The following is a 24,761-nucleotide window of genomic DNA, read 5'->3' as shown; positions in this document are numbered from 1 at the left end:
CTAATGGCACCTTGATCTTGAACTTCTAGCCTCCAGAGCTGTCAGAAAATAAATGTCTGTTGTTTAAGCCACCCAGCATGTGGTCTTTTATTTATTTATTTATTTTATTTTATTTTATTTATTATTATTATACTTTAAGTTTTAGGGTACATGTGCACAATGTGCAGGTTAGTTACATATGTATACATGTGCCAAGCTGGTGTGCTGCACCCACTAACTTGTCTTCTAGCATTAGGTATATCTCCCAATGCTATCCCTCCCCCCTCCCCCCACCCCACAACAGTTCCCCAGAGTGTGATGTTCCCCTTCCTGTGTCCATGTGTTCTCATTGTTCAATTCCCACCTATGAGTGAGAATATGCAGTGTTTGGTTTTTTGTTCTTGCGATAGTTTACTGAGAATGATGATTTCCAATTTCATCCATGTCCCTACAAAGGACATGAACACATGATTTTTTATGGCTGCATAGTATTCCATGATGTATATGTGCCACATTTTCGTAATCCAGTCTATCCTTGTTGGACATTTGGGTTGTTTCCAAGTCTTTGCTATTGTGAATAATGCCGCAATAAACATATGTGTGCATGTGTCTTTATAGAAGCATGATTTATAGTCCTTTGAGTATATACCCAGTAATGGGATGGCTGGGTCAAATGGTATTTCTAGTTCTAGATGCCAGAGGAATCGCCACACTGACTTCCACAATGGTCGAACTAGTTTACAGTCCCATCAACAGTGTAAAAGTGTCCCTATTTCTCCACATCCTCTCCAGCACCTGTTGTTTCCTGACTTTTTAATGATTGCCATTCTAACTGGTGTGAGACACGGTATCTCATTGTGGTTTTGATTTGCATTTCTCTGATGGCCAGTGATGGTGAGCATTTTTTCATGTGTTTTTTGGCTGCATAAATGTCTTCTTTTGAGAAGTGTCTGTTCATATCCTTCGCCCACTTTTTGATGGGGTTGTTTGTTTTTTTCTTGTAAATTTGTTTGAATTCATTGTAGATTCTGGATATTAGCCCTTTGTCAGAGGAGTAAGTTGTGAAAATTTTCTCCCATTTTGTAGGTTGCCTGTTCACTCTGATGGTAGTTTCTTTTGCTGTGCAGAAGCTCTTTAGTTTAATTAGATCCCATTTGTCAATTTTGGCTTTTGTTGCCATTGCTTTTGGTGTTTTAGACAGGAAGTCCTTGCCCATGCCTATGTCCTCAATGGTAATGCCTGGGTTTTCTTCTAGGGTTTTTATGGTTTTAGGTCTAATGTTTAAGTCTTTAATCAATCTTGAATTGATTTTTGTATAAGGTGTAAGCAAGGGATCCAGTTTCAGCTTTCTACATATGGCTAGCCAGTTTTCCCAGCACCATTTATTAAATAGGGAATCCTTTCCCCATTGCTTGTTTTTCTCAGGTTTGTCAAAGATCAGATAGTTGTAGATATGCGGTGTTAATTCTGAGGGCTCTGTTCTGTTCCATTGATCTATAGCTCTGTTTTGGTACCAGTACCATGCTGTTTTGGTTACTGTAGCCTTGTAGCATAGTTTGAAGTCAGGTAGTATGATGCCTCCAGCTTTGTTCTTTTGGCTTAGGATTGACTTGGCGATGCAGGCTCTTTTTTGGTTCCATATGAACTTTAAAGTAGTTTTTTCCAATTCTGTGAAGAAAGTCATTGGTAGCTTGATGGGGCTGGCATTGAATCTGTAAATTACCTTGGGCAGTATGCCCATTTTCACGATATTGATTCTTCCTACCCATGAGCATGGAATGTTCTTCCATTTCTTTGTATCCTCTTTTATTTCCTTGAGCAGTGGTTTGTAGTTCTTCTTAAAGAGGTCCTTCACGTCCCTTGTAAGTTGGACTCCTAGGTATTTTATTCTCTTTGAAGCTATTGTGAATGGGAGTTCACTCATGATTTGGCTCTCTGTTTGTCTGTTGTTGGTGTATAAAAATGCTTGTGATTTTTGTACATTGATTTTATATCCTGAGACTTTGCTGAAGTTGCTTATCAGCTTAAGGAGATTTTGGGCTGAGACAATGGGGTTTTCTAGATGTACAATCATGTTATCTGCAAACAGGGACAATTTGACTTCCTCTTTTCCTAATTGAATACCCTTTATTTCCTTCTCCTGCCTAATTGCCCTGGCCAGAACTTCCAACACTATGTTGAATAGGAGTGGTGAGAGAGGGCATCCCTGTCTTGTGCCAGTTTTCAAAGGGAATGCTTCCAGTTTTTGCCCATTCAGTATGATATTGGCTGTGGGTTTGTCATAGATAGCTCTTATTATTTTGAGATATGTCCCATCAATACCTAATTTCTTGAGAGTTTTTAGCATGAAGGGTTGTTGAATTTTGTCAAAGGGCTTTTCTGCATCTATTGAGATAATCATGTGGTTTTTGTCTTTGGTTCTGTTTATATGCTGGATTACATTTATTGATTTGCGTATATTGAACCAGCCTTGCATCCCAGGGATGAAGCCCACTTGGTCATGTTGGATAAGCTTTTTGATGTGCTGCTGGATTTGGTTTGCCAGTATTTTATTGAGGATTTTTGCATCAATGTTTATCAAGGATATTGGTCTAAAATTCTCTTTTTTGGTTGTGTCTCTGCCCAGCTTTGGTATCAGGATGATGCTGGCCTCATAAAATGAGTTAGGGAGGATTCCCTCTTTTTCTATTGATTGGAATAGTTTCAGAAGGAATGGTACCAGCTCCTCCTTGTACCTCTTGTAGAATTCGGCTGTGAATCCATCTGGTCCTGGACTCTTTTTGGTTGGTAAGCTATTGATTATTGCCACAATTTCAGCTCCTGTTATTGGTTTATTCAGAGATTCAACTTCTTCTGGTTTAGTCTTGGGAGAGTGTATGTGTCAAGGAATTTATCCATTTCTTCTAGATTTTCTAGTTTTTTTGCGTAGAGGTGTTTGTAGTATGCTCTGATGGTAGTTTGTATTTCTGTGGGATCGGTGGTGATATCCCCTTTATCATTTTTTATTGCGTCTATTTGATTCTTCTCTCTTTTTTTCTTTATTAGTCTTGCTAGCGGTCTATCAATTTTGTTGATCCTTTCAAAAAACCAGCTCCTGGATTAATTAATTTTTTGAAGGGTTTTTTGTGTCTCTATTTCCTTCAGTTCTGCTCTGATTTTAGTTATTTCTTGCCTTCTCCTAGCTTTTGAATGTGTTTGCTCTTGCTTTTCTAGTTCTTTTAATTGTGATGTTAGGGTGTCAATTTTGGATCTTTCCTGCTTTCTCTTGTGGGCATTTAGTGCTATAAATTTCCCTCTACACACTGCTTTGAATGCATCACAGAGATTCTGGTAAGTTGTGTCTTTGTTCTCATTGGCTTCAAAGAACATCTTTATTTCTGCCTTCATTTTTTTATGTACCCAGTAGTCATTCAGGAGCAGGTTGTTCAGTTTCCATGTAGTTGAGCGGTTTTGAGTGAAATTCTTAATCCTGAGTTCTAGTTTGATTGCACTGTGGTCTGAGAGATAGTTTGTTATAATTTCTGTTCTTTTACATTTGCTGAGGAGAGCTTTACTTCCAACTATGTGGTCAATTTTGGAATAGGTGTGGTGTGGTGCTGAAAAAAATGTATATTCTGTTGATTTGGGGTGGAGAGTTCTGCAGATGTCTATTAGGTCTGCTTGGTGCAGAGCTGAGTTCAATTCCTGGGTATCCTTGTTGACTTTCTGTCTCGTTGATCTGTCTAATGTTGACAGTGGGGTGTTAAAGTCTCCCATTATTATTGTGTGGGAGTCTAAGTCTCTTTGTAGGTCACTCAGGACTTGCTTTATGAATCTGGGTGCTCCTGTATTGGGTGCATATATATTTAGGATAGTTAGCTCTTCTTGTTGTATTGATCCCTTTACCATGATGTAATGGCCTTCTTTGTCTCTTTTGATCTTTGTTGGTTTAAAGTCTGTTTTATCAGAGACTAGGATTTCAACCCCTGCCTTTTTTTGTTTTCCATTTGCTTGGTAGATCTTCCTCCATCCTTTTATTTTGAGCCTATGTATGTCTCGGCACGCGAGATGGGTTTCCTGAATACAGCACACTGATGGGCCTTGACTCTTTATCCAATTTGCCAGTCTGTGTCTTTTAATTGGAGCATTTAGTCCATTTACATTTAAAGTTAATATTGTTATGTGTGAATTTGATCCTGTCATTATGATGTTAGCTGGTTATTTTGCTCGTTAGTTGATGCAGTTTCTTCCTAGTCTCGATGGTCTTTACATTTTGGCCTGATTTTGCAGTGGCTGGTACCGGTTGTTCCTTTCCATGTTTAGCGCTTCCTTCAGGAGCTCTTTTAGGGCAGGCCTGGTGGTGACAAAATCTCTCAGCATTTGCTTGTCTGTAAAGTATTTTATTTCTCTTTCACTTATGAGGCTTAGTTTGGCTGGATATGAAATTCTGGGTTGAAAATTCTTTTCTTTAAGAATGTTGAATATTGTCCCCCATTCTCTTCTGGCTTGTAGGGTTTCTGCCGAGAGATCCACTGTTAGTCTGATGGGCTTCCCTTTGAGGGTAACCCGACCTTTCTTTCTGGCTGCCCTTAACATTTTTTCCTTCATTTCAACTTTGGTGAATCTGACAATTATGTGTCTTGGAGTTGCTCTTCTCCAGGAGTATCTTTGTGGTGTTCTCTGTATTTCCTGAATCTGAATGTTGGCCTGCCTTGCTAGATTGGGGAAGTTCTCCTGGATAATATCCTGCAGAGTGTTTTCCAACTTGGTTCCATTCTCGCCATCACTTTCAGGTACACCAATCAGACGTAGATTTGGTCTTTTCACATAGTCCCAAATTTCTTGGAGGCTTTGTTCATTTCTTTTTATTCTTTTTTCTCTAAACTTCCCTTCGCTTCATTTCATTCATTTCATCTTCCATCCCTGATACCCTTTCTTCCAGTTAATCGCATCAGCTCCTGAGGCTTCTGCATTCTTCACGTAGTTCTCGAGCCTTGGCTTTCAGCTCCATCAGCTCCTTTAAGCACTTCTCTGTATTGGTTATTCTAGTTATACATTCTTCTAAATTTTTTTCAAAATTTTCAACTTCTTTGCCTTTGGTTTGAATGTCCTCCCGTAGCTCAGAGTAATTTGATCGTCTGAAGCCTTCTTCTCTCAGCTCGTCAAAGTCATTCTCCATCCAGCTTTGTTCCATTGCTGGTGAGGAACTGCGTTACTTTGGAGGAGGAGAGGCACTCTGCTTTTTAGAGTTTCCAGTTTTTCTGCTCTGTTTTTCCCCCATCTTTGTGGTTTTATCTACTTTTGGTCTTTGATGATGGTGATGTACAGATGGGTTTTTGGTGAGGATGTCCTTTCTGTTTGTTAGTTTTCCTTCTAACAGACAGGACCCTCAGCTGCAGGTCTGTTGGAGTACCCAGCTGTGTGAGGTGTCAGTCTGCCCCTGCTGGGGGTGCCTCCCAGTTAGGCTGCTTGGGGGTCAGGGGTCAGGGACCCACTTGAGGAGGCAGTCTGCCCGTTCTCAGATCTCCAGCTGCGTGCTGGAAGAACCACTGCTGTCTTCAAAGCTGTCAGACAGAGACTTTTAAGTCTGCAGAGTTTACTGCTGTCTTTTGGTTTGTCTGTGCCCTGCCCCCAGAGGTGGAGCGTACAGAGGCAGGCAGGCCTCCTTGAGCTGTGGTGGGCTCCACCCAGTTCGAGCTTCCTGGCTGCTTTGTTTACCTAAGCAAGCCTGGGCAATGGCGGGCGCGCCTCCCCTAGCCTGGCTGCTGACTTGCAGTTTGATCTCAGACTGCTGTGCTAGCAATCAGTGAGACTCCGTGGGCGTAGGACCCTCTGAGCCACATGTGGGATATAATCTCCTGGTGCGCCGTTTTTTAAGCCCGTCAGAAAAGCGCAGTCTTTGGGTGGGAGTGACCCGATTTTCCAGGTGCCGTCTGTCACCCCTTTCTTTGACTAGGAAAGGGAACTCCCTGACCCCTTGCGCTTCCCAAGTGAGGCAATGCCTCGCCCTGCTTCAGCTCATGCACGGTGCATGCACCCACTGTCCTGCACCCACTGTCTGGCACTCCCTAGTGAGATGAACCTGGTACCTCAGATGGAAATGCAGAAATCACCTGTCTTCTGTGTGGCTCATGCTGGAAGCTGTAGACAGGAGCTGTTCCTATTCGGCCATCTTGGCTCCTCCTCCCAGCGTGTGGTATCTTGCTAAGGCAGCCCAAATATACTAATACAACATCTATTAATGTTACAAACTCAACAATTACTATTCTAATTATTACTTTACTCTCTCTTATTTCCTCAGCCCACTGCACTTTTGCTTCCATCCACCTTCTTTGTGCTGTTATGGATAAAATTTTTTCTTTGAGCACTTTGTTAATCTGCTGCCTTCTGGCTCCATTGTTTCTGCTGAGAGGTAATCTTTTAATCTGATTGGGGTTCCTTCATAAATGATGAGTCATTCTTCTCTTGCTGCTTTCAAGATTTTCTCCTTATCTTTGACTTTCAGCATTTTTGCTATGTGTCTATTGGTGGACATCTTTGTATTTATCCTAGTTGGAGTTCTTTGAGCTCCCTGGGATATGTAGGTTGTTGTTTTTCAGTAAATTGGGAAGTTTTATGTCAACCATGAGTTCCACATCTAACAAATCTATCTTTCGAAAACAAAGAAAAGAGAAGGACTTAGATAAACACAAACTAGGAGAATTTGTTGCTAGCAGACAGTGATGGTTAATTTTATGTATCTGGTTAGAACTATAATATATGGATAGGAAATTTATGTAGATTTGCCTTTCATCTCAACCTTCGCTGTTCTTAAGGGCACCCTTAGGTTTGAACTTCTCCACACTCTGTATAAATGAAATCAGTTATTTTGGGAAGAGATTAGAAGCTATCTTTTTAATGGGCTTGTTCTCACCAAGGCAAAAACTTCTGAGCCAGAGATCTGGAGCTGTGGTTGGGAACAATGGCAAGCTTCTCTTTGAGGCACACTTTTGAACTTGGTGCTGAGCACATGGTAATGAGGAGCAGCAGCAGCCTGAGATCCTCTGGGCCTGTCTCTTCTGATATGGAAGTTCCTCTTCACAAACCAGGATATAAACAATCAGAGCCCTAGAATTCTCAACATTGTTGAACTTCTAGTAGAACCTCCATTCCATGAGATAGAAAGGAGGGGCCCCCAACCTCTCAACTGCACTTACTCAGGATTTAGCCTCAACTTTAAGAGGCTTGAGTCAGGATAAAAATAATATAGTCCTACTCTTCTCAGGAAGATAGCCCTACAACTGGGACTGAGAGAGAGAGAGAGAGAGAGAGAAGGAGAGAAGGAGCTTGTGTGTTTTGAGATGAGGGAAGGGGGTAGTTTTGATTCAAGTACCACAGACTCTTGCCTTTCTTACAGAATTTTCGTAGTTTTTTTTTTTTAATAAATATTTCTTCTTTTGGCATTTACCTTATGGCCATTTCAAGAAGCTTTAAATTTTTAAACTTTATTAGAAAGCAGGGTAGTGGAGATGCTTTCAGTGTCATTATACCAGAGATTAATTTGTCATGACCTTAAAATCTTTTACATTAAATAAAGCAACAATGTGATTAATAAACATCTTGATATAATAAACATTCCATAAATTATGATGTATAATTAGTATTAGTCTATTCCTGCTGACATATTTTTTACCCCAATTTCACTCTTCATATTTAACACTTGGCATTTTTTTCAAGTGCCAACTTGGATCCCTTTAGTAATAATTCTTGTTATCAAACTCAGTTATACTGCTTCAGACTGAGGTAAATACAATTTTTTGTCTCTAAACAAATGATGTCAAAGTTCAGCATTCTCACTAGATTTCTCACCTGTTCTCAAAAAAAATCCCACCAAAAACCAGATAGGAAGAAAGGGATATGTGTCTTTAGATGAGGTTAATATTTGGAGCAAGGGAGAGATGGGAACATGCGTGAGATAGTCACAGAATATGAGTCAGTTATTTTAGCAGTAGATTCTTTTTGGTAGGGAGCATGTGAAGTGAAGAAGAAACTGATGGCCTTAAGTGGTACAATGAGGAGTTAAGACAATATTCTGAAAGAAACTTAGGAGCTATAGCCCAAAAGACCAATAGTGAAGGAAGTTTTTCCCAACTATCAAAATCCAACAACAGTACTAAAATCTTAGGTGGACATTGTGATTGTAGGTATAATTTAAAATTTTTTATCCCACCCATTCAATAATTAGCTAAGTACAGTGAGAGGCCATAAGTTAAGTCAATCTTCCACATGTAGGCCAGGTATCACTGTTAGATGCTATTGCAGACATAATATACCTCTCTGTATTAGTCCATTCTCACACTGCTACAAAGAACTACCTGAGACTGGGTAATTTATGAAGAAAAGAGATTTAAGTGACTCACAATTCTGCAGGCTGTACAAGAAGCATGACTTGGAGGCCTCAGGAAACTTACAATCATGTCAGAAGGTGAAGGGGAAGCAAGTACATCTTATCATGGCAGAGCAGGAGAAAGAGAGAGAAGAGGGAAGTTCTACACACTTTTAAACAACTAGATCTCATGAAAACTCACTCACTATCATGAGAACAGCAAGGGAGAAATGTGCCCCCATGATCCAATCACCTCCCACCAGGTCCCTCCCCCAGCATTGGGAATTACAATTTCACATGAGATTTGGATGGGGACACAGAGCCAAACCCTATTACTCTCATTCATGGTAGTGTTCACAGCTATAACTTCACATTTACTGTATGTTTATTTGATTTATGTCTACCTTCTCACAAATATGAAATCCAGAGGGCAGGAAATGTGTAGTGTGTATTTATTTGTCATTTATATCTCCACTGTCTACTTCAATGTCTAGGTAATGGTACCAGCTCAATACACATTCCTTGCATAAGTGAGTAGATAGGTAGACAGAAGATGCATAAACTAATAAATGAGTGAGTAGATGTTTTTAAATCACCAATCATCTTAGTTTGCTGCATGTTAAATTTGAGATGTTTGAGGCCTTTTTCCTATTGTCAAACTCAGTGAAGAAAAAAACCTATATTCCTTTAATTGCAAAAAGACCTTATATGTCTTTCCTTGGAGATGGTATAGCTATTCAGAGGTTAGTGAAGCTCACCAAATGAGAGGTACCCCTGGAGACAGGTAAAGGTTTATGTTATCGAGTGTACTGACCATGCTGGCTAGGGCCATGTAAAATCATTCTAAGAACTCAATCTTTAAATAATCATTTTTATTCTTAATAAAATATAGATAGCTTCCCCAATGCAAAACTGCTGAGCACTGTTTTTCCAATCCATCAAAGTGTAAAGCTAGTCTATACACAAATCAATTTTGGGGGTGTGCAAAGGGGAGGAAAGGAAACTACCAAGACAAAAATATCCATTAAAAGTGCAAAGTGCAGTAATGATTAGGAGTCTATACATACTCAACCCTCACAAATGGCAGCAACCAAATTTCTCAGTAATCCTCCCTTGAGTAGGTCAAGGCAGAAAGGATTAGCTGAAGGTGAATGGACAGTAATGGAATCTGATCAATTGCCCTCAGTATGCTTTAGACATCTCAAAGTGTCAAAGCAGCTTGATCCAATTGGTTGTGTCAAGGGTTGTCTTGTCAGAAATTCAATTCACGTAAGTTGAGAAACCAAACAAACTTACACTTCTCAAGGGCAAGCTTTGTTGGAAATAGGAAGCAGATACCCTGCAGATTTCAAACAATTTGCATGGGATGCATCCTAATATTAATGTTTTCCATTTACATGAAAAAAAAATGGTCTCATCTAACACCACGTCCCCAAAGTCTCCTGCTATCTTTAGATCCAGTTATGGTGGGTTTTATCTCACTTAACATTGGCAATCAAGTTTTATTTCTTTTTTATTTTTTAAGCTCATGAAACCAAGCTAAAGAAGTATTATCAGTCCAGGTGTGGTGGCTCACACCTGTAATCCCAGCACTTTGGTAGGCCAAGGTGGGCGGATAACCTGAGGTCAGGACTTCAAGACCAGCCTTGCCAACATGGTGAAACCCCGTCTCTACTAAAAATGCAAAAGTTAGCCAGGCATGGTTGCACAAGCCTGTAATCCCAACTACTTGGGAGGCTGAGGCAGGAGAGTCACTTGAACCCAGGAGGAGGAGGCTACAGCGAGCCAAGATTGTGCCACTGGACTCCAGCCTGGGCAACAGAGTAAGACTCTGTCTGAAAAAAAAATTAAGAAGCATTATCAAATCTTGGGTCTATGCCTACCATAGCCAGATAATTTCTAGCAAGTACAGACTCAGAGATCTAGGACTTAGCAGAAGACTAAACATGCCCAGGAAAGGGGTTCACTCTGGACAGAGCAGCTCTAAATGCTGGTGTTGAAGGCAGCATCACTCTGACTGGCTAACCTGACACAATGTTGTGGCATAAAATGAAGCAGTCCTAGCTGGGAGTGGTCTACTCTAGAAGATTAGAGTATAGCATATAAAGAGAGACCCAGCAGAGAAAGACCTTCATGGATCCTAAGAAGCAGGCAATTAACATTAAAGATAGCACCTTAGGCATGACTATAGTCCTAGCAAGCATTTTTATTCCTTCCTTCCTTCCTCCATTCACTGACTCAACAATATTTTTGAGTACCTATTATGTGACAAGCACTAGGAATATAATGTGTTTAAAAAGGTGGTTGGTTGCAGTGCCAGTTACATGGAAGGCTGAGGCAGGAGGATTGCTTGAACTCAGAAGTTTGAGTCCAGCTTAGAAAACATAGTGAGACTCCCATCTCTATTTTTATTTTACCGTGATTCTTGCCCTCATATATTTCACTATCTATTGGGGAAGATGGGCATTCTTATAAAAAGCACGCAATAGATGCATTATCATAAACAATGTTTAAATATAAGAATCAGAATCTCATAGGACTATGAGTGTGATAATAAGAAGCCCTGGAGTAGACTGGTTTGTATGGTGAAGACTTGTTTCACAGGAGGAGACATGTGAACTAAGATGTGAAGAACCAGAAAGAAAATGGGAGCCAGGAGACATTCTTAAAGGAGGCTCAGGGCTCTCATATGGAAGATGATTGTGCATTTGAAGAATGAAAGGAGGCCAGGGAAGGTGAATCACAGAAAACAAGGAGATTGACAAAGGGGCTGAGGAGGAAGCAAGCTTGTGAATCATGGTAAGGATTTTGGTCTTTATTATAAAATAAATACAAAGATATTGAAGGTTTTAAATGAAATGATGACATGATTGGGTGTGTTTTTAAAAGATGACTCTGATTGAAACCTGGGGAAAGGCTTGTGGATCAGGAGGGTGGAAAGAGAAAGAAAAAAGTGATCCTGGGGGTGGGGGAACTTAGAAAGCTTTTAGTGTTTATTTGTTTTCTGATGAGAAATGATGGCAGTTTGGATTAGGGTGCTGCAGGAGATGATGCAGGGAGGTGGACATATTAGAGGAGGTAAGATCAACAAGAGTGGTGATGGATTGAATGGGGTGTGTGGGTGGCTAATAGAGAGGTGTCAGAATTACTCCTCCTTTATTGCAGAAGTACCTAGATAACAGTACGGTTTACCAAAATAAAGAAGACGAGGTTGGGATGGAGTAAAAGAGAGGATTGAGTGCAGTTTTAGACACCCTAAATATGAATTCCCTTGAGACAATCTAGGAGAGATGGAGAGAAAATAGTTGGACATTTGAGTCTACAGCTCAGAGTAGAGATCTGGGCTAGTCACATAACATTGGGAGTTATTTGCATGCAGGTGATTGTTGATGGTGGAAGCATTTGGTGAGTGTCAGATTGCCTAGGGAGAGAGTACAGATTGAGGAAAAAAAAGCTGTAAGAACCAAGCCTTGAAAACTACCAACACTTAGAAGTTAGGAACAAGAAAATGAACCAAAAAGATACTAGAAGTAGTGAGCAGAGTTATAGAAAAGAAGTCAGAAGTGTGCGTGATATATCACAGAAAACAAGGAAAGAGTATTTTAAGAAGGAGGGAGTGATCAACAATATTGAATACTGGTAAGAAATCAAGTACGATGAGGACTGAAAAAATGTTCATTTAATAGTGACATGGAGGTCACTAGTAACTACAAAGAGCTTTTTTAGTGGAATTTTTGTGATTGTTGATATTGTTTTCTCTCCAGATCAATGAGCCTCTTTCTCTCGCAATCAATAAACCTATTGCCTTGCTGATTAATGAATTAACAAAGAATTTTAGCATAAAGCAAGTTTGAAAGGCAGAAGGTAGGAGGCAGATGAGGGAAGGAAGGAAGATGTGCTGTGGAGATATTCTAGGAAGTGTGTTAAAAATGCAGATAACCTGTATCCAACTTCCAAAGATTTTTACGCAATAGGTCTAGGGTGGGGTAAAGGAAGCCCTCTGTAGATAGGTCCCGTGACCATGTCTCCCAGTATTCTTGTCCTCATGGGGTTCTCCATACTGGCTCTGGGGCTTGTCCTTCTGGTTGACTTAGGCCAGTGGGACATTAATGTGAAGCAAGTGAAGGCATAAGAAGGGCTTACCTGCTGGAGCCTGTCATCTGAGAATGTTCCTTCTTGGAACCCAGCCAGCAATGCTGAGAAAGTCCTGATTGCACTGTGAAGAAGCCCACTGGGGGAACTGTAACCTAGCTAAGCTGAAAGCCCCAGATGAGCTTGCAGCAAGCAATGAGTACTAACTTGTTGAGTGAGGCTATTTTGAGCCTTTCCCAGATCCCACCATCTCTGTCAACCTACTTGATGCAGAACTACCTGTTCGGCTCACAAAATCACGAATACATAACGGCTTGTTTTTGTTTTACAACATTAAGTTTTGGAATGCTGTGTTATGCATCAGTGGAAACTGAAAGTGTCCCCATTTTAGCAAACTCCCCAGGTAATTCTAATGATACTTTTCTACAACATAATGTATTAGCCCATTTCACATTTGCCACCATCTTCTATCCTCTTGTTCCTTCTCTCCCTTCTTCAGATTCTGCTCTTTTCAGCTCTCTGAATGGAGGCATGGAAGATGAGAGGATTGAGCAGAAATCTGAAATATTCCCTCACTAATCCATAGCCCCTCTTTCCTCATTTCTAAAATACAGATGGCATCCACTCTATCACAGGGAAAAGTGAGGTGATATGAATGTGGGATCTGACATTTGGGAAACTTAGCTCCCTTTTCCCTGTCACCTGTTTGTTTTTTCCCTTGAAGTACTCCTTAGCATATACATCCAAGCTATTTTACTAATCTTTGACAACCTCCACTTTTATTGTCTTCACAGTTATCTATGCTTATAAACAGTAGGGCTTTTTATAGATTTACAAATACAGTATTAATAGGATTTCCGGAGGGATTAGTCTCTTTCCTGAAAATCATCTATACTAAAATGCCATCTTATAGTAAAGCAATCATTTGATGAAGTCAGGTGTGTAGGGGCTGCAGGATGAGTGCTCTCTCCCTGCACCTGAAGGTTTCAAGCACTGTGGATTTTGCATAATAGAAAACTTCTGGCTTTAGAGACACCCAGGAGAAGCCAAAATTCCTATTATGTTTCTAAGCTCTTCTTTTCTGCTTGAACAAGTAACAGCATCATTCACCTATACAAGCTATCAGTAGGAAATTTTGATACTCTCTCCCTCAGGACAAATCTAAAATAAATCATCAGGAGCCTGTAATGGTACCAGGCTCTCAAACAACTGGAGTCCCCAGGCATTTCTCAGGATGGATAAGGAACCTGTGAAACTCACTGTGTTCCCCCTTCCCCTCTGAGCCCTCGGTGACCTGTTATTGTGGCGGATCGCTGGTTGTTCTGCTTCAGAGTTGCTCATGCAAGTGATTGGAGGTAGAGCACAGGCTGCAACCTAATCAAGCCAAGGGCTGCACAGCTGGGAATTCACTTGTGTGGCTGGGGTTAGTAATATGCATCATAGTCACACTGGACAGCTCAAGGAACTTAGTGGGGAATTTGGATTACTGGGGAAGTGGGGGAAGGTTTTAGTTTTCTAAAATCACTAAAGGGGGGCTTTGTGAGATCTGCCACCAGCTTGCTAGTACACCATTTCACACCACTCATTTGACACATAATCCTTTAACAGGTAAGAAGGTGACACGGCTGACATGAGTTAGAGAGAAAGATGGTAGGCAGGATCACTCTAGAGTTTGAATCACTTAAAAATATTTTTTCCTGAAATTTATTCTAGAGAAAAAAAAAACAAAAAAACAAAACAATAGTCCCTTGTTCCCGAGTAGACTAAGAGGTGCTGTAGCTGAATTGCAAGGAAATGCAGATTCCTGGTCCTCATATCCAGAAATTGTAATTCAAAGGGTCTAGGAGGGGCTTAGAAATCTGTGTTTACTAAGCCTTCTTAAGGCAGTGCTGTTGCAAGGGATGGTGGCAATATCATCTGTCTTACTCAATGTCTTTCTCTGGGATACTAAAGGAAGTTTGTTAACAGCATCAGCTTCTCTTTGCCTCTACTCTTAACCCTCCAGTCACTGATAAACAAATAATTATTCATTCATTCATAAGTATTCACTATGTGTAGACCCTATTAGATGCTGAGGATACAGAAATGAATATGACATGGTCCCAATAAAATAAGCAGACTACTAGGGAGAATAGACATGTAATCATGAAAGTTTATACAAGATAAGTGATAGTTCCAAAAGCAGAGTGATTAACTCTGCCTGAAACTGTCAAAAAAAAAGTCTTTGGAAAAATGATGCTACTCGATCTGAATTCCGTACGAGGCATGGGAATTCTCTGGGAGACAGAGGTAGAACTCACCTCGTTGCGAAAACACCCCAAGTATCATTTCTTTCTCCTCATAACCAATGACACATCTGCATTCCTGGTTTGTGGCCTGGGAACATTTAAGAATCACCAATGGGGCTAAAACCAAACCAAACAAAATTTTACTCAGTGTGGTGGACACTGTAAGGTGCTGCTTATATCTACCTTCAGGTTTCTAGCAGAGGGCCTTCCACTGTGAGTCCCTATGTAGATTTCTGAGGCTAAAGACTAATGTCTCATTTCCTTCCCTGGGGGAGCCAGCTTTCCATGACTGATCAGTGTGGAGGTTTAAACATCCAGTTCCCTCATCCCAGATAATAACAACTCTAAAAGGTCATCTGAGGTTCACAGTCCTGTGGATTGTCTAAGGCCTCTGTTGAGATTGCTTCACAGCTCATCTCTCTCTGCCCAATCTCCTTCCCTTTCAGAGATGTCACTCTCCAGAGCCCTCCTTAATATATCCCCTGAATGCTAATCTTTTTTCCTGGGGAACCCATTCTATGACACTGGCCTCCTTCTGCAGAACCCTGAGTACAATTGTTCTGCCAGCAGTAGCCGGCATAGTTTTGTGAAGCTCCATAGGTGATTCTGAGGCATATCTCTTTAAGAACCACTAAGTGGTCTTCTCAAAATAAGATCTGAAAACCTCTTGCAACAGAATCATCTTAAGCACGTTTATTAAATGAAGATTCCTGGACCCCCTCCTAGACCCTTTGAATTATAATTTCTGGATACAAAAACAGGGAATCTGCATTTTTAACAAGTTCCTGGCTTTCTTCATATGCACACTGCTGTGTGAAACCACTAAAGTTAATCCCAGGCCTTCATGAAGTATGTATTCTTTCATAGTTAAGCAAATAAAAGAATAGGATTTTCCTCCTCGACCATAAGACTCTGCTCCTTGTATCACATGCAGACTTGGGTAAACAAGATTCAGCAAGAGAAATGCTGGGGTTACACCTGGACCACCTGTTATCCACCCATGCTCAGTATCTGGGTCTTGATTCAGTGAACTCTGGCCATGTGCCAGAAGAGGATGTGCCTTTTAAGGACTTTTTTTCTTTTTTTTCTTTAGCATCTGAACATTTCTTTTTGGTAGCCCTAGTGCACACTAGGTCTCTGATTTTGATCATTGCATTTTTCCCTGCTGGCAAGCAGTCAACGTCAAAGATAGAGAGACATTGCTCAATGTATCCTAACCCTTTCAAATGGAAGCCTCTGGATAATCAAACATGACTCCTGGCAGCTCTTCCAGGCCCTTTCTCTGTCTTTTCCCCTAATATACTTTGCTAATATGTTTTAAAATTATCCTCAGCCATGTTGCCTCAATAACCTTTCCTTGGCAGGCACTCCATTGTCTGAATGGACTCCTAACGTATTTTCCTTCTTACTTCCATCTTTGCTCACTCTTTACTCTTGAAAGGAAGAAGGAAAGAAGGAAGGAAGGAAGGAAGGAAGGAAGGAAGGAAGGAAGGAAGGAAGGAAGGAAGGAAGGATAGAAAGAAAGAAAGAAAGAAAGAAAGAAAGAAAGAAAGAAAGAAAGAAAGAAGACAATAACGATAAAAACAAAGGCTATTGCTTCTCTATGTTCTTTCTTTTCTTCTTCAAATGTTGCTCTAAAGACAGAAGAGAAATAGAGACAGGGTGGTGCAGTTGTTAGCTAAGCCCCTGATATCAAACTCCCAGGGTTCGAATCCTGGTTCTGTTGCTTACTAGCTGTATGATTTTGAGGAAGTTGCATAATCTCCTTGTTTCTTTGTTTTTTTGATCTGTAAGTTTGAGGTAATAGTGCCTACCACCTGGAGCTGTCATGAGGATTCAGTGAATTCTCACATATAATGAACTTTAAGCAGTACCAGGCATGGAGGAGGCAGTGTTCAATACATCCTGTCATTATCATGAATGTGGGCGAATGGGAAACAAGCTACTTGCCTGTTTTTCATTTCTTGGTTCTGTTTGCATCTTTCAAAATTAATTCAAAATAAAACTCATCAAATTCATAAGAAATGGGCAGAAAAGATTTGATCAGAGTGACTTTTCACAGACACCAATAGAATCATGGAGGGTAAATGTACTTAACCCCAGTAAGAACCCAAGAACATGTCAAGATTAAGAGGTTTCAGATCTAATGCCCCTGAAGACAATTTTTTTACCCAAAGCATTAGAGATCAGTGTAGGTTTGAATCCTGTGTTGCAAAGCTATCTGGGTAGTTGTGGGCAAATTATTTAACCAATCAGAACCTCAGTTTCATATTTAAATTGAAATCACTCATCTGCTCCTCATTGGAGGGTAGTAAAGGGAAGTGACAGGTACATGCCAGCTCTGGCCACAGAGATGGCATTAATTAAGCATGAGAGAAATCCAGCAAATATTAAGACAGAGGGAGTTGGAGATGCAGGAAGAAGCAGAGAACACCCACTGTGAATGCCAGAAAGGAAGGGCTTAACGCTGGCCCTGCATGAGCCATGGTGCTACAAACCCAGCATGGGCTATTTAACTCCTCTCTGTTTTGATACTCCCAGCGGTGGCTCCCTCAGGAGTAAATACTGAGGGCTAAGAAATGTATTTGACAAGTGAAAGTCAGTGACGGTCACTCTCCTACACAGCAGGCAGCCCCCGGAACAGGCAACTGTGCCACAGTCCCTGGAGGGAATCATAGCAGATCTTATTTTTAAAAGGCAAATTTCTGACTGTTCACCCCTGCTTTGAATTCCACACATCATTGGGCTTTAATGAACAAAAGGAGCTGGCCCCAGGATCCCCTGCACAGGACTCATTAAATAGACCTGAGTAGATGCCACAAGGTTGCTTTTTTTTCCCCCTAGACAATTACCCTGATGAATTACACATATCCACAAGCTTGGGTACATGTCTCCTCCCCCTGGATTACCTTTCACTGTTATCTTCAGAGATATGTGGGCAAAGAGAAATAATTAGCGCATGTAAAAATAAAAACAGTGTTTCCTAAGTATTTCCTATGTGTCAACACCTTTATGCTTTATCTTTAATTTTCACAACAGCAACAACTTAATATAGTTAGTCTAGTCCCAATTTTACAGCTGAGGATGCTGTAAATAGGTGCAGAGGTGTATAGTCATTTGTCCTAGGTCATACAGCTAGTGAGTAGTTGGCTGGAATGCAGAAGATTTTTTTTTTCCTGGACTCAAGGCCCCTGTTATTTCCATCACAGCATGCTGCCGTTCCTTGGAAATCATTGAGGCTGATGACGATAATAAACAGGAAAGAGAGAGAATAGAGTTTCCCTCATTTGCAAGTAGTCCAAGAGTCTCCCTGGTCATTTTAAAACTAGGTTGACTGTTTCTGCCTATAGACTCCCTAAGAATCAAATGGCAAATAAAACCATTACCTAAGGGCCATGCTTGGGATAGTCTTGCAGTGCTTCTTTGGTTGTAAAGTGATTCAGAGAAATCCAGTAGTGAAGAATTTGTTCTACTTGGCCTCTTGGAAAAACAGAGTTTAAGCACTTCATTTCTGGCATTGCATGAATATATTTAGTCAAATATTTTCATCTTTGTTATCCAGATGAAAGGGATTCAAACATTAAACAAACATCTACTGAGCATCTACTGTGTGACAGTTGCCATTCTAGCACTTGAGGTGTATCACTGAATAAAACAGATAAAGATGTCTGTCTTCAGTGAGCTTATTTTGTCAAATACTCATAAATCCCAAGAATCAGGGAGTCTTAGAAGAGAGGTTGAAGCGACTAGTACTATGAACTGAGTTCCAATTTTTGATACATGGGAATAGCAAATATGCTTTATGTTTCCACAGTTCTAGGTGTCTATGACATAGTAAGCCAAGAGCTGTTGCCAATGGGCCTTCGTAACATACAAAAAGACGTTCTTTGACACTTGCAATGTGTTCAGTAAAGAAGACAAAGGCATAAGGTGTGCTTAGAGGGAAATGTCTGGTAGCAACAGCAATTCAGTGGTGTACAACGATAACAACTCTGGGGTTATTTTACACCTAGACCTGTTATAAGATCACTTGCCTGTAGCGACCTGTGCTATGGTACAAAGAGGAGCTGATGCAAGTCCAAATTCCAACTCTGCCACTCGTTGTATAACCTGGGACAAGTCAATTGGCCTCTGTGAGCTTTTCTCATCATCCAAGAAAGATGAATTGTGTCTACATCATTTTGATTTCATTTTTTGTGTATATGTGTGTCTTTTTTCTTTCCAAACAAAATGAAAGGTGTGCATAGTGTCATACATTTGCATAACTCTTTATAGCTTATGAAGTAATTTTTATCACTAATGACACCAGGGTAAATTTCTTGTCATCCTGCCATCTCCTTTTCTTATCATAACAATTCAGTCTTTTATTTATGTTGTTTCACAGTTTATTTTCTTTTCCTATTGCAGTAGTGCAGGTTCCCAAAGTCTCACTTCTGGAATGCTGTAATAGCTGAGCAACTTTTTGGCTGTACTCATTGCCTCTTCCAATTCCACCTATTTTTGACAGATGAGTCTAAATTAAAATAGTTCTTTCATTGGAAACCCTATTTTTCTAATATCTCTCAATGTCCTGTGTTATACATAAAATAAAGCACAGAGTTCGTATATTAGGTCATAACTTATTTTTCTAGATTAATATGTCTTTACTCATCAGACACTAAGATTCGCTATTTCTGAATATGTCTCATAATGTCTTACATCAGAATCTGCTCAGACCCCTGTCATTGAGCAGAATCCCGCTTTCCCCATCACTGTGAGTTACTCTTGACTATGTATGTGTCTGACATCTCTGAAACATATAAGAATGTTCTTTTATTCTTATCACTGTCACTAGTGCCTGGTACCAAGTAGGAGTTCATTGAATGCTTGTCAAGTTGAAGAGAAAATAACGTATCAATGCATGTTTAATTGATGAATTGATTGATTCACTTTTCTCAGTGTAATTTCCAGGTATTCTATGAATTTATGAAATTTCTGGGTATTTTTGGAATTTTCAGTTCATTCTTTGATCACATAAAAAACTACATTTCTATGGCATTGTTAGCATCTGACAAATTATCTAATGACATCATGAAGACCACCAAGATGAATTCAATAATTCAATTCTATTATTTCTTTGGCCTGTAAATCATTGTATTTCCCATCATTCAACACCTAACTCATTAGGGACAAACAACAACACTCAACATTGCCTAATTATCTTGTTTTTTTAAAACATATAATGATATGGAGTAAATACCTTATTTTTATTTCCATTTAAATCCCAGGAAAGGAGTATCATTTTATCCTTCTTTTGCAGGTAAAAATTTGAAACAATAATTTAAAAAATTATTCAAACTCATACATTTGTCAGAGGCAGAGCAAGATTTGAACTCAGATCTTTATAACCCAGTCTGTATAATTATTCAATAAATAAGATGACATGTCTATGTATGATTATCCATTTAGGTTATACTGTCTCTTGTCTTGCTCCCTCAAACAGACATTCCATAATGCTTTCAGAAATTATTTTCGGATAGCAAATGTTTCTCCTCCACTGGACATCCTTTAGAGGCTCTCCAAGGCCTGCTAATGTTCAAATTCATAAAGCCCTTCCTGACATGGGTCCTGCCTTTCCAAACACCCCAGGACTCCTCCACAACCACTCATTCCACTAAATATACCCCTTAAGATTCTGTCTTCCTTTGAGTTCTGTTGCCTTTGGGGCTTGCCCCAGGCTCATTGGCTGGACAGTTAGTTAGCTTCTCATGGATCAGAAGAATGCATAACCCTGACCCCTCCATCCAGAACGCAGGCCTAAGGGAGGCTGCCTGGACAGTGCAGCTCACTCCGTGAGTGGAGCCCAACCCCTATTATTTGAAAAAAAAAATCATGGTTGAACAGAACACAACCTGACAATATCTTTGTATGTGCATAAACATTTCAGTCATTGGAAAAAATGTCTTCATTTTGCTTGACAGACATGCAGCATCTATCATAAAAGAAAAGCAAATGTGTGACAGGTTGTAAAATGGAAGGCAATATCGCCTCATTAGAGTTCATTTTAAGTTGGGTTTCAGTGATGCTTTGTCATGCATCTAAATGACTTAAGTGGGTACCAGGAATATGTTTATCATATTGCTTGGAAGAAGTTTTTTTTCTTTCCTCCCCTAAATATATCTCTTCTCAGAATTGCAAAGGGAATAAAGAAAGAGCCTGCTTCCCTACGGGAGGCTGTAGTGTAATCAGGACTTTAATGACATTTTCCCCTCAGAGCCTGCCCTTGTTTCCCCTCCGAGTCGCCCCAGGAGTGACTCTGAGCAAGGAAAGCTAGGAAAGTCATTGTTCTGATGGTTTCCTTCTTCCTCTTTTAGGCTCGTGTCTCCCTTCGTGTTTTTATAAAATTTTGTTGAAAACACCAAAAAGATGCAGTATATGGAGTGGCTGAGAATGTGGACCCTTCGTGTCAGGCTGCTTTGGTTCTAATTCTGGCTCTGCCACTTAATAGTTATGTGACCTTGGACAAGTGACATGTTCTTTCTGTGACCCACTTTTTTTTTTAAATAACAACTTTATTGAGATATAATTCACATACCATACCATTTCAGATGTACAATTCAATTATTATTTTTTAATTTCATTTTGCAAATGCTTTTAATACATAGATTTTTTTCTTTTTTCTTTTCTTATACTTTAAGTTCTGGGGTACATGTGCAGAATGTGCAGGTCTGTTACATAGGTATACACGTGCCATGGTGGTTTGCTGCACCTATCAACCCGTCGTATACATTAAGTATTTCTCCTAGTGCTATCCCTCCCCTAAACCCCCAACCCCCGACAGGCCCCAGTGTGTGATGTTCCCCTCCCTGTGTCCATGTGTTCTCATTGTTCAACTCCCACTAAAAATATGGAACGCTTCACGAATTCGTGTGTCATCCTTGTGCAGAGGCCATGCTAATCTTCTCTGTATTGTTCCAATTTTAGTATATGTCTTACCGAAGTGAGCACACAATTCAATTATTTTTAGTTTATTGGCAGGGCTGCATAACCAACACCACAACCCATTTTACTACATGTTCATCACGCCTTAAAAAGAACCCTGTACCCATTCATTAGCAGTCACTCCCCACTTCCTCTCTTCATTTCCCCCAGCCCTAGACATCCACAAATCTACCTTTTGTCTCTATGGATTTGCCCATTCTGGACATTTCATATAAATGAAGTCATGCAATGTGTAGTTTTTGTGACTGGCTTCTTTTACTAAGTGTGATTTTTTTCAGGATCCATCTATGTTATAACATCTATCAGGGATAGACTTCATTTCTTTTATACAACATTTTTTGGCTTACTCATCAGTTGATGGACATTTGGCTTCTTTCCACGTTTTGGCTATTATGAATAATGCTGCTAAGAACATTCATGTGAAAGATTTGGGTAGACATATGTTTGTATTTTGCTTGGATATATACCTAGGAATGGAATTACTGGGCCATATGGTAATTCTATGTTTAACCTCTTGAGGAACTACCAGAATGTTTTCCAAAGCAATTGCTTGATTTTAAATTCCCATCAGCAGTGTATGTGGGTTCCAATTTATCCACATCCTTGTCAACACTCATTATTATTTGTTATTTTTTATTATAACCATTATTGTTGGTGTGAAATGGCATCTCATGTGGCTTTTGTTTGTTTGCTTTATAAATCATTCTACTATAAAGATGCATGCACACGTATGTTTATTGCAGCACTACTTACAATAGCAAAGACTTGGAACCAACCCAAATGTCCATCAATGATAGACTGGATAAAGAAAATGTGGCACATATACACCATGGAATACTATGCAGCCATAAAAAAGAATGAGTTCATGTCCTTTGCAGGGATATGGATGAAACTGGAAGCCATCATTCTCAGCAAACTAACACAGGAACAGAAAATCAAACAGCACATGTTCTCACTCATAAGTGGGAGTTGAACAACGAGAACACATGGGCACAGGGAGGGGATCATCACATACTGGGGCCTGTTGGGGGGTGGGGCAAGGGGAGGGAGAGCATTAGGACAAATACCTAATGGAGGCAGGGCTTAAAAACTAGATGATGGGTTGATAGGTGCAGCAAACCACCATGACACATGTATATCTATGTAACAAACCTACACGTTCTGCCCATGTATCCCAGAACTTAAAGTAAAATTTAAAAATAAAAATTAGTAGATGTAATGTTTTAAATCAGTTTAGATTTATAGAAAAAAATGAGCAGTTAGTAATAGTACAGAGGGTTCCCATGTAACTCCCTGCCCTCCAACACACACAGTTTCCTCTATTATTAGCATCTTACATTTGTATGGTACCATATGAGTTTTCTAGAGCTACTGTAACAAATGATCATACACTCAGTAGCTTAAAACAACAGAAATCAACCCTCTTCCAGGTCTCAGGGCTAGAAGTCTGAAAATAAGGTGCTGGCGGGGCCATGTACACTCCGAAGACTCCAGAAAGAATCTCTCCTAGCCTCTTCCTAGCTGCAGGTGGTTGCTGGCATTCCTTGGCTTGTGGCTGCATCACTCCCATTTCTGCCTCTGTCTTTGCCTGGCCATCTTCCTTGTGTGTGTGCCTGTGTCTCTCATGGCCTTTTTAGAAGGATACTAGTCATTGGATTTAGGGCCCACTCTAATCCAGTATGTCTTCATTTTAACTTAATTCCATCTGCAAAGACTTCATTTCTAAATAAAGTTACATTCACAGTACCTAAGGTTAGAATTTTAACATATCTTTTTGTGGAACACAATTCAATCCCCAACAGGTATATTTGTTATAATTAATGAACCAATATTCTTGCACTATTATTATTAGCTAAGATCCACAGTTTATTCAGATTGCCTTAAATTTTACCTAACATCCTTTGTCTGTTCCAGAATTCCAGTGAGGATACCACATTACATTTTGTGGTCATGTTTCCTTAAGCTACTCTTGAAGATAAGTTTCTTTGTGACTTTGGTTACTTTTGATGATGTTGACAGTTTTGAGTACTAGTCAGGTATGTTATAGGATGGCCCTCTATTAGAATTTGTCTGATGTTTTTCTTATGATTAGACTGAGGTTATAGATATTTGGGAAGAAGACCACAGAGTCTTTGAGAGGAAGACCACACAGTGCCATTTTCATTGCATCACATAAAGGGTACATACTATCAACATAACTTATCATTGTTGATGATAACCTTTATCACCTGGATGAAATATTGTTTGTCAGGTTTCTCCAGTGTAAAGTTACAAAGACCCCCTCCTTTACTCTTTGAAAGACAGTCACTCCATGAAGCTCACATTTGAATAGGGGATTTTTCTCACTCTCCTTGTGACCCACATTTTCATCTGTGAATTAGGGCTAAAAGTAGTACCTATCAATTCAGAGAGATAAGGTACAGGTTTCTGAGTTAATTATGTAAAGTTCTAGGAACAATTACTTTCACTGGGTAATAATTAATAAACATTAATGATTATTAGCATTATCATTATGAAAATTCTTACCACCTTTTGCCTTTTATTATTATAGGTTTGTGTGTGTGTGCCCTCTCGTTAGTACAGTAATTTCCTTGAGTTTAAACATATATTATTTGAATATTTCCATAATATCTAGAAATGGCAGTGAATCCTCAATAAAGGGGAAGTTCAGTTTAAAAAGTATGTATATGTATATATCTATATCAATATATGTGTACATCTTAATAAATCCCTATCTTGCCCCCAGTATCTTTAGCTTGTTAGGTTATTCTAAGAAGAAAGCATCATTTAACTGACCTTCAGTGGATAACAACAGAAATTGAGGGATCCTTATTTCCTTATTTGAGGACCACTGCTCCAACATATTCTTTTAAGTGCTCATGCACCATCATTATAATTTATCTCCTTAGTGGCCTGAAGAATTCTTAGCTCCCATTTCCAAGTTCTGAGGGCAATAGGGAGACATTAAAAGATGATGAGAAACTTTGTAAGTTCAAAGCGAGTTTTATTGAGGAGAGAAATCCATGGTTTTGGTGGAGAAAACATGTATTAGGTTTACTTATCTTAAATAAATTTAG

General features: G+C 39.7%; 1 pseudogene, besides 2 other annotated features; it reads right to left on the bottom strand.

The window, feature by feature from the left end:
* Window positions 5,171–5,670: an enhancer, noted in NCBI's record as "H3K4me1 hESC enhancer chr10:107310437-107310936 (GRCh37/hg19 assembly coordinates)". NCBI's record gives its function as "activates a minimal SCP1, AML or CMV promoter by ChIP-STARR-seq in primed H9 embryonic stem cells {active_cell/tissue: H9 hESC(primed)}" and the evidence as "EXISTENCE:reporter gene assay evidence [ECO:0000049][PMID:30033119]".
* Window positions 5,671–6,172: an enhancer, noted in NCBI's record as "H3K4me1 hESC enhancer chr10:107309935-107310436 (GRCh37/hg19 assembly coordinates)". NCBI's record gives its function as "activates a minimal SCP1, AML or CMV promoter by ChIP-STARR-seq in primed H9 embryonic stem cells {active_cell/tissue: H9 hESC(primed)}" and the evidence as "EXISTENCE:reporter gene assay evidence [ECO:0000049][PMID:30033119]".
* RNU6-463P (RNA, U6 small nuclear 463, pseudogene) lies at window positions 21,584–21,690 on the bottom strand (annotated as a pseudogene).

This window comes from Homo sapiens, chromosome 10, assembly GCF_000001405.40.
Source record: "Homo sapiens chromosome 10, GRCh38.p14 Primary Assembly".
Lineage (NCBI taxonomy): Eukaryota > Metazoa > Chordata > Mammalia > Primates > Hominidae > Homo > Homo sapiens.
The sequence above is the reverse complement of the archived record's forward strand: the minus strand, read 5'-3'. Positions and strand labels throughout refer to the sequence as shown.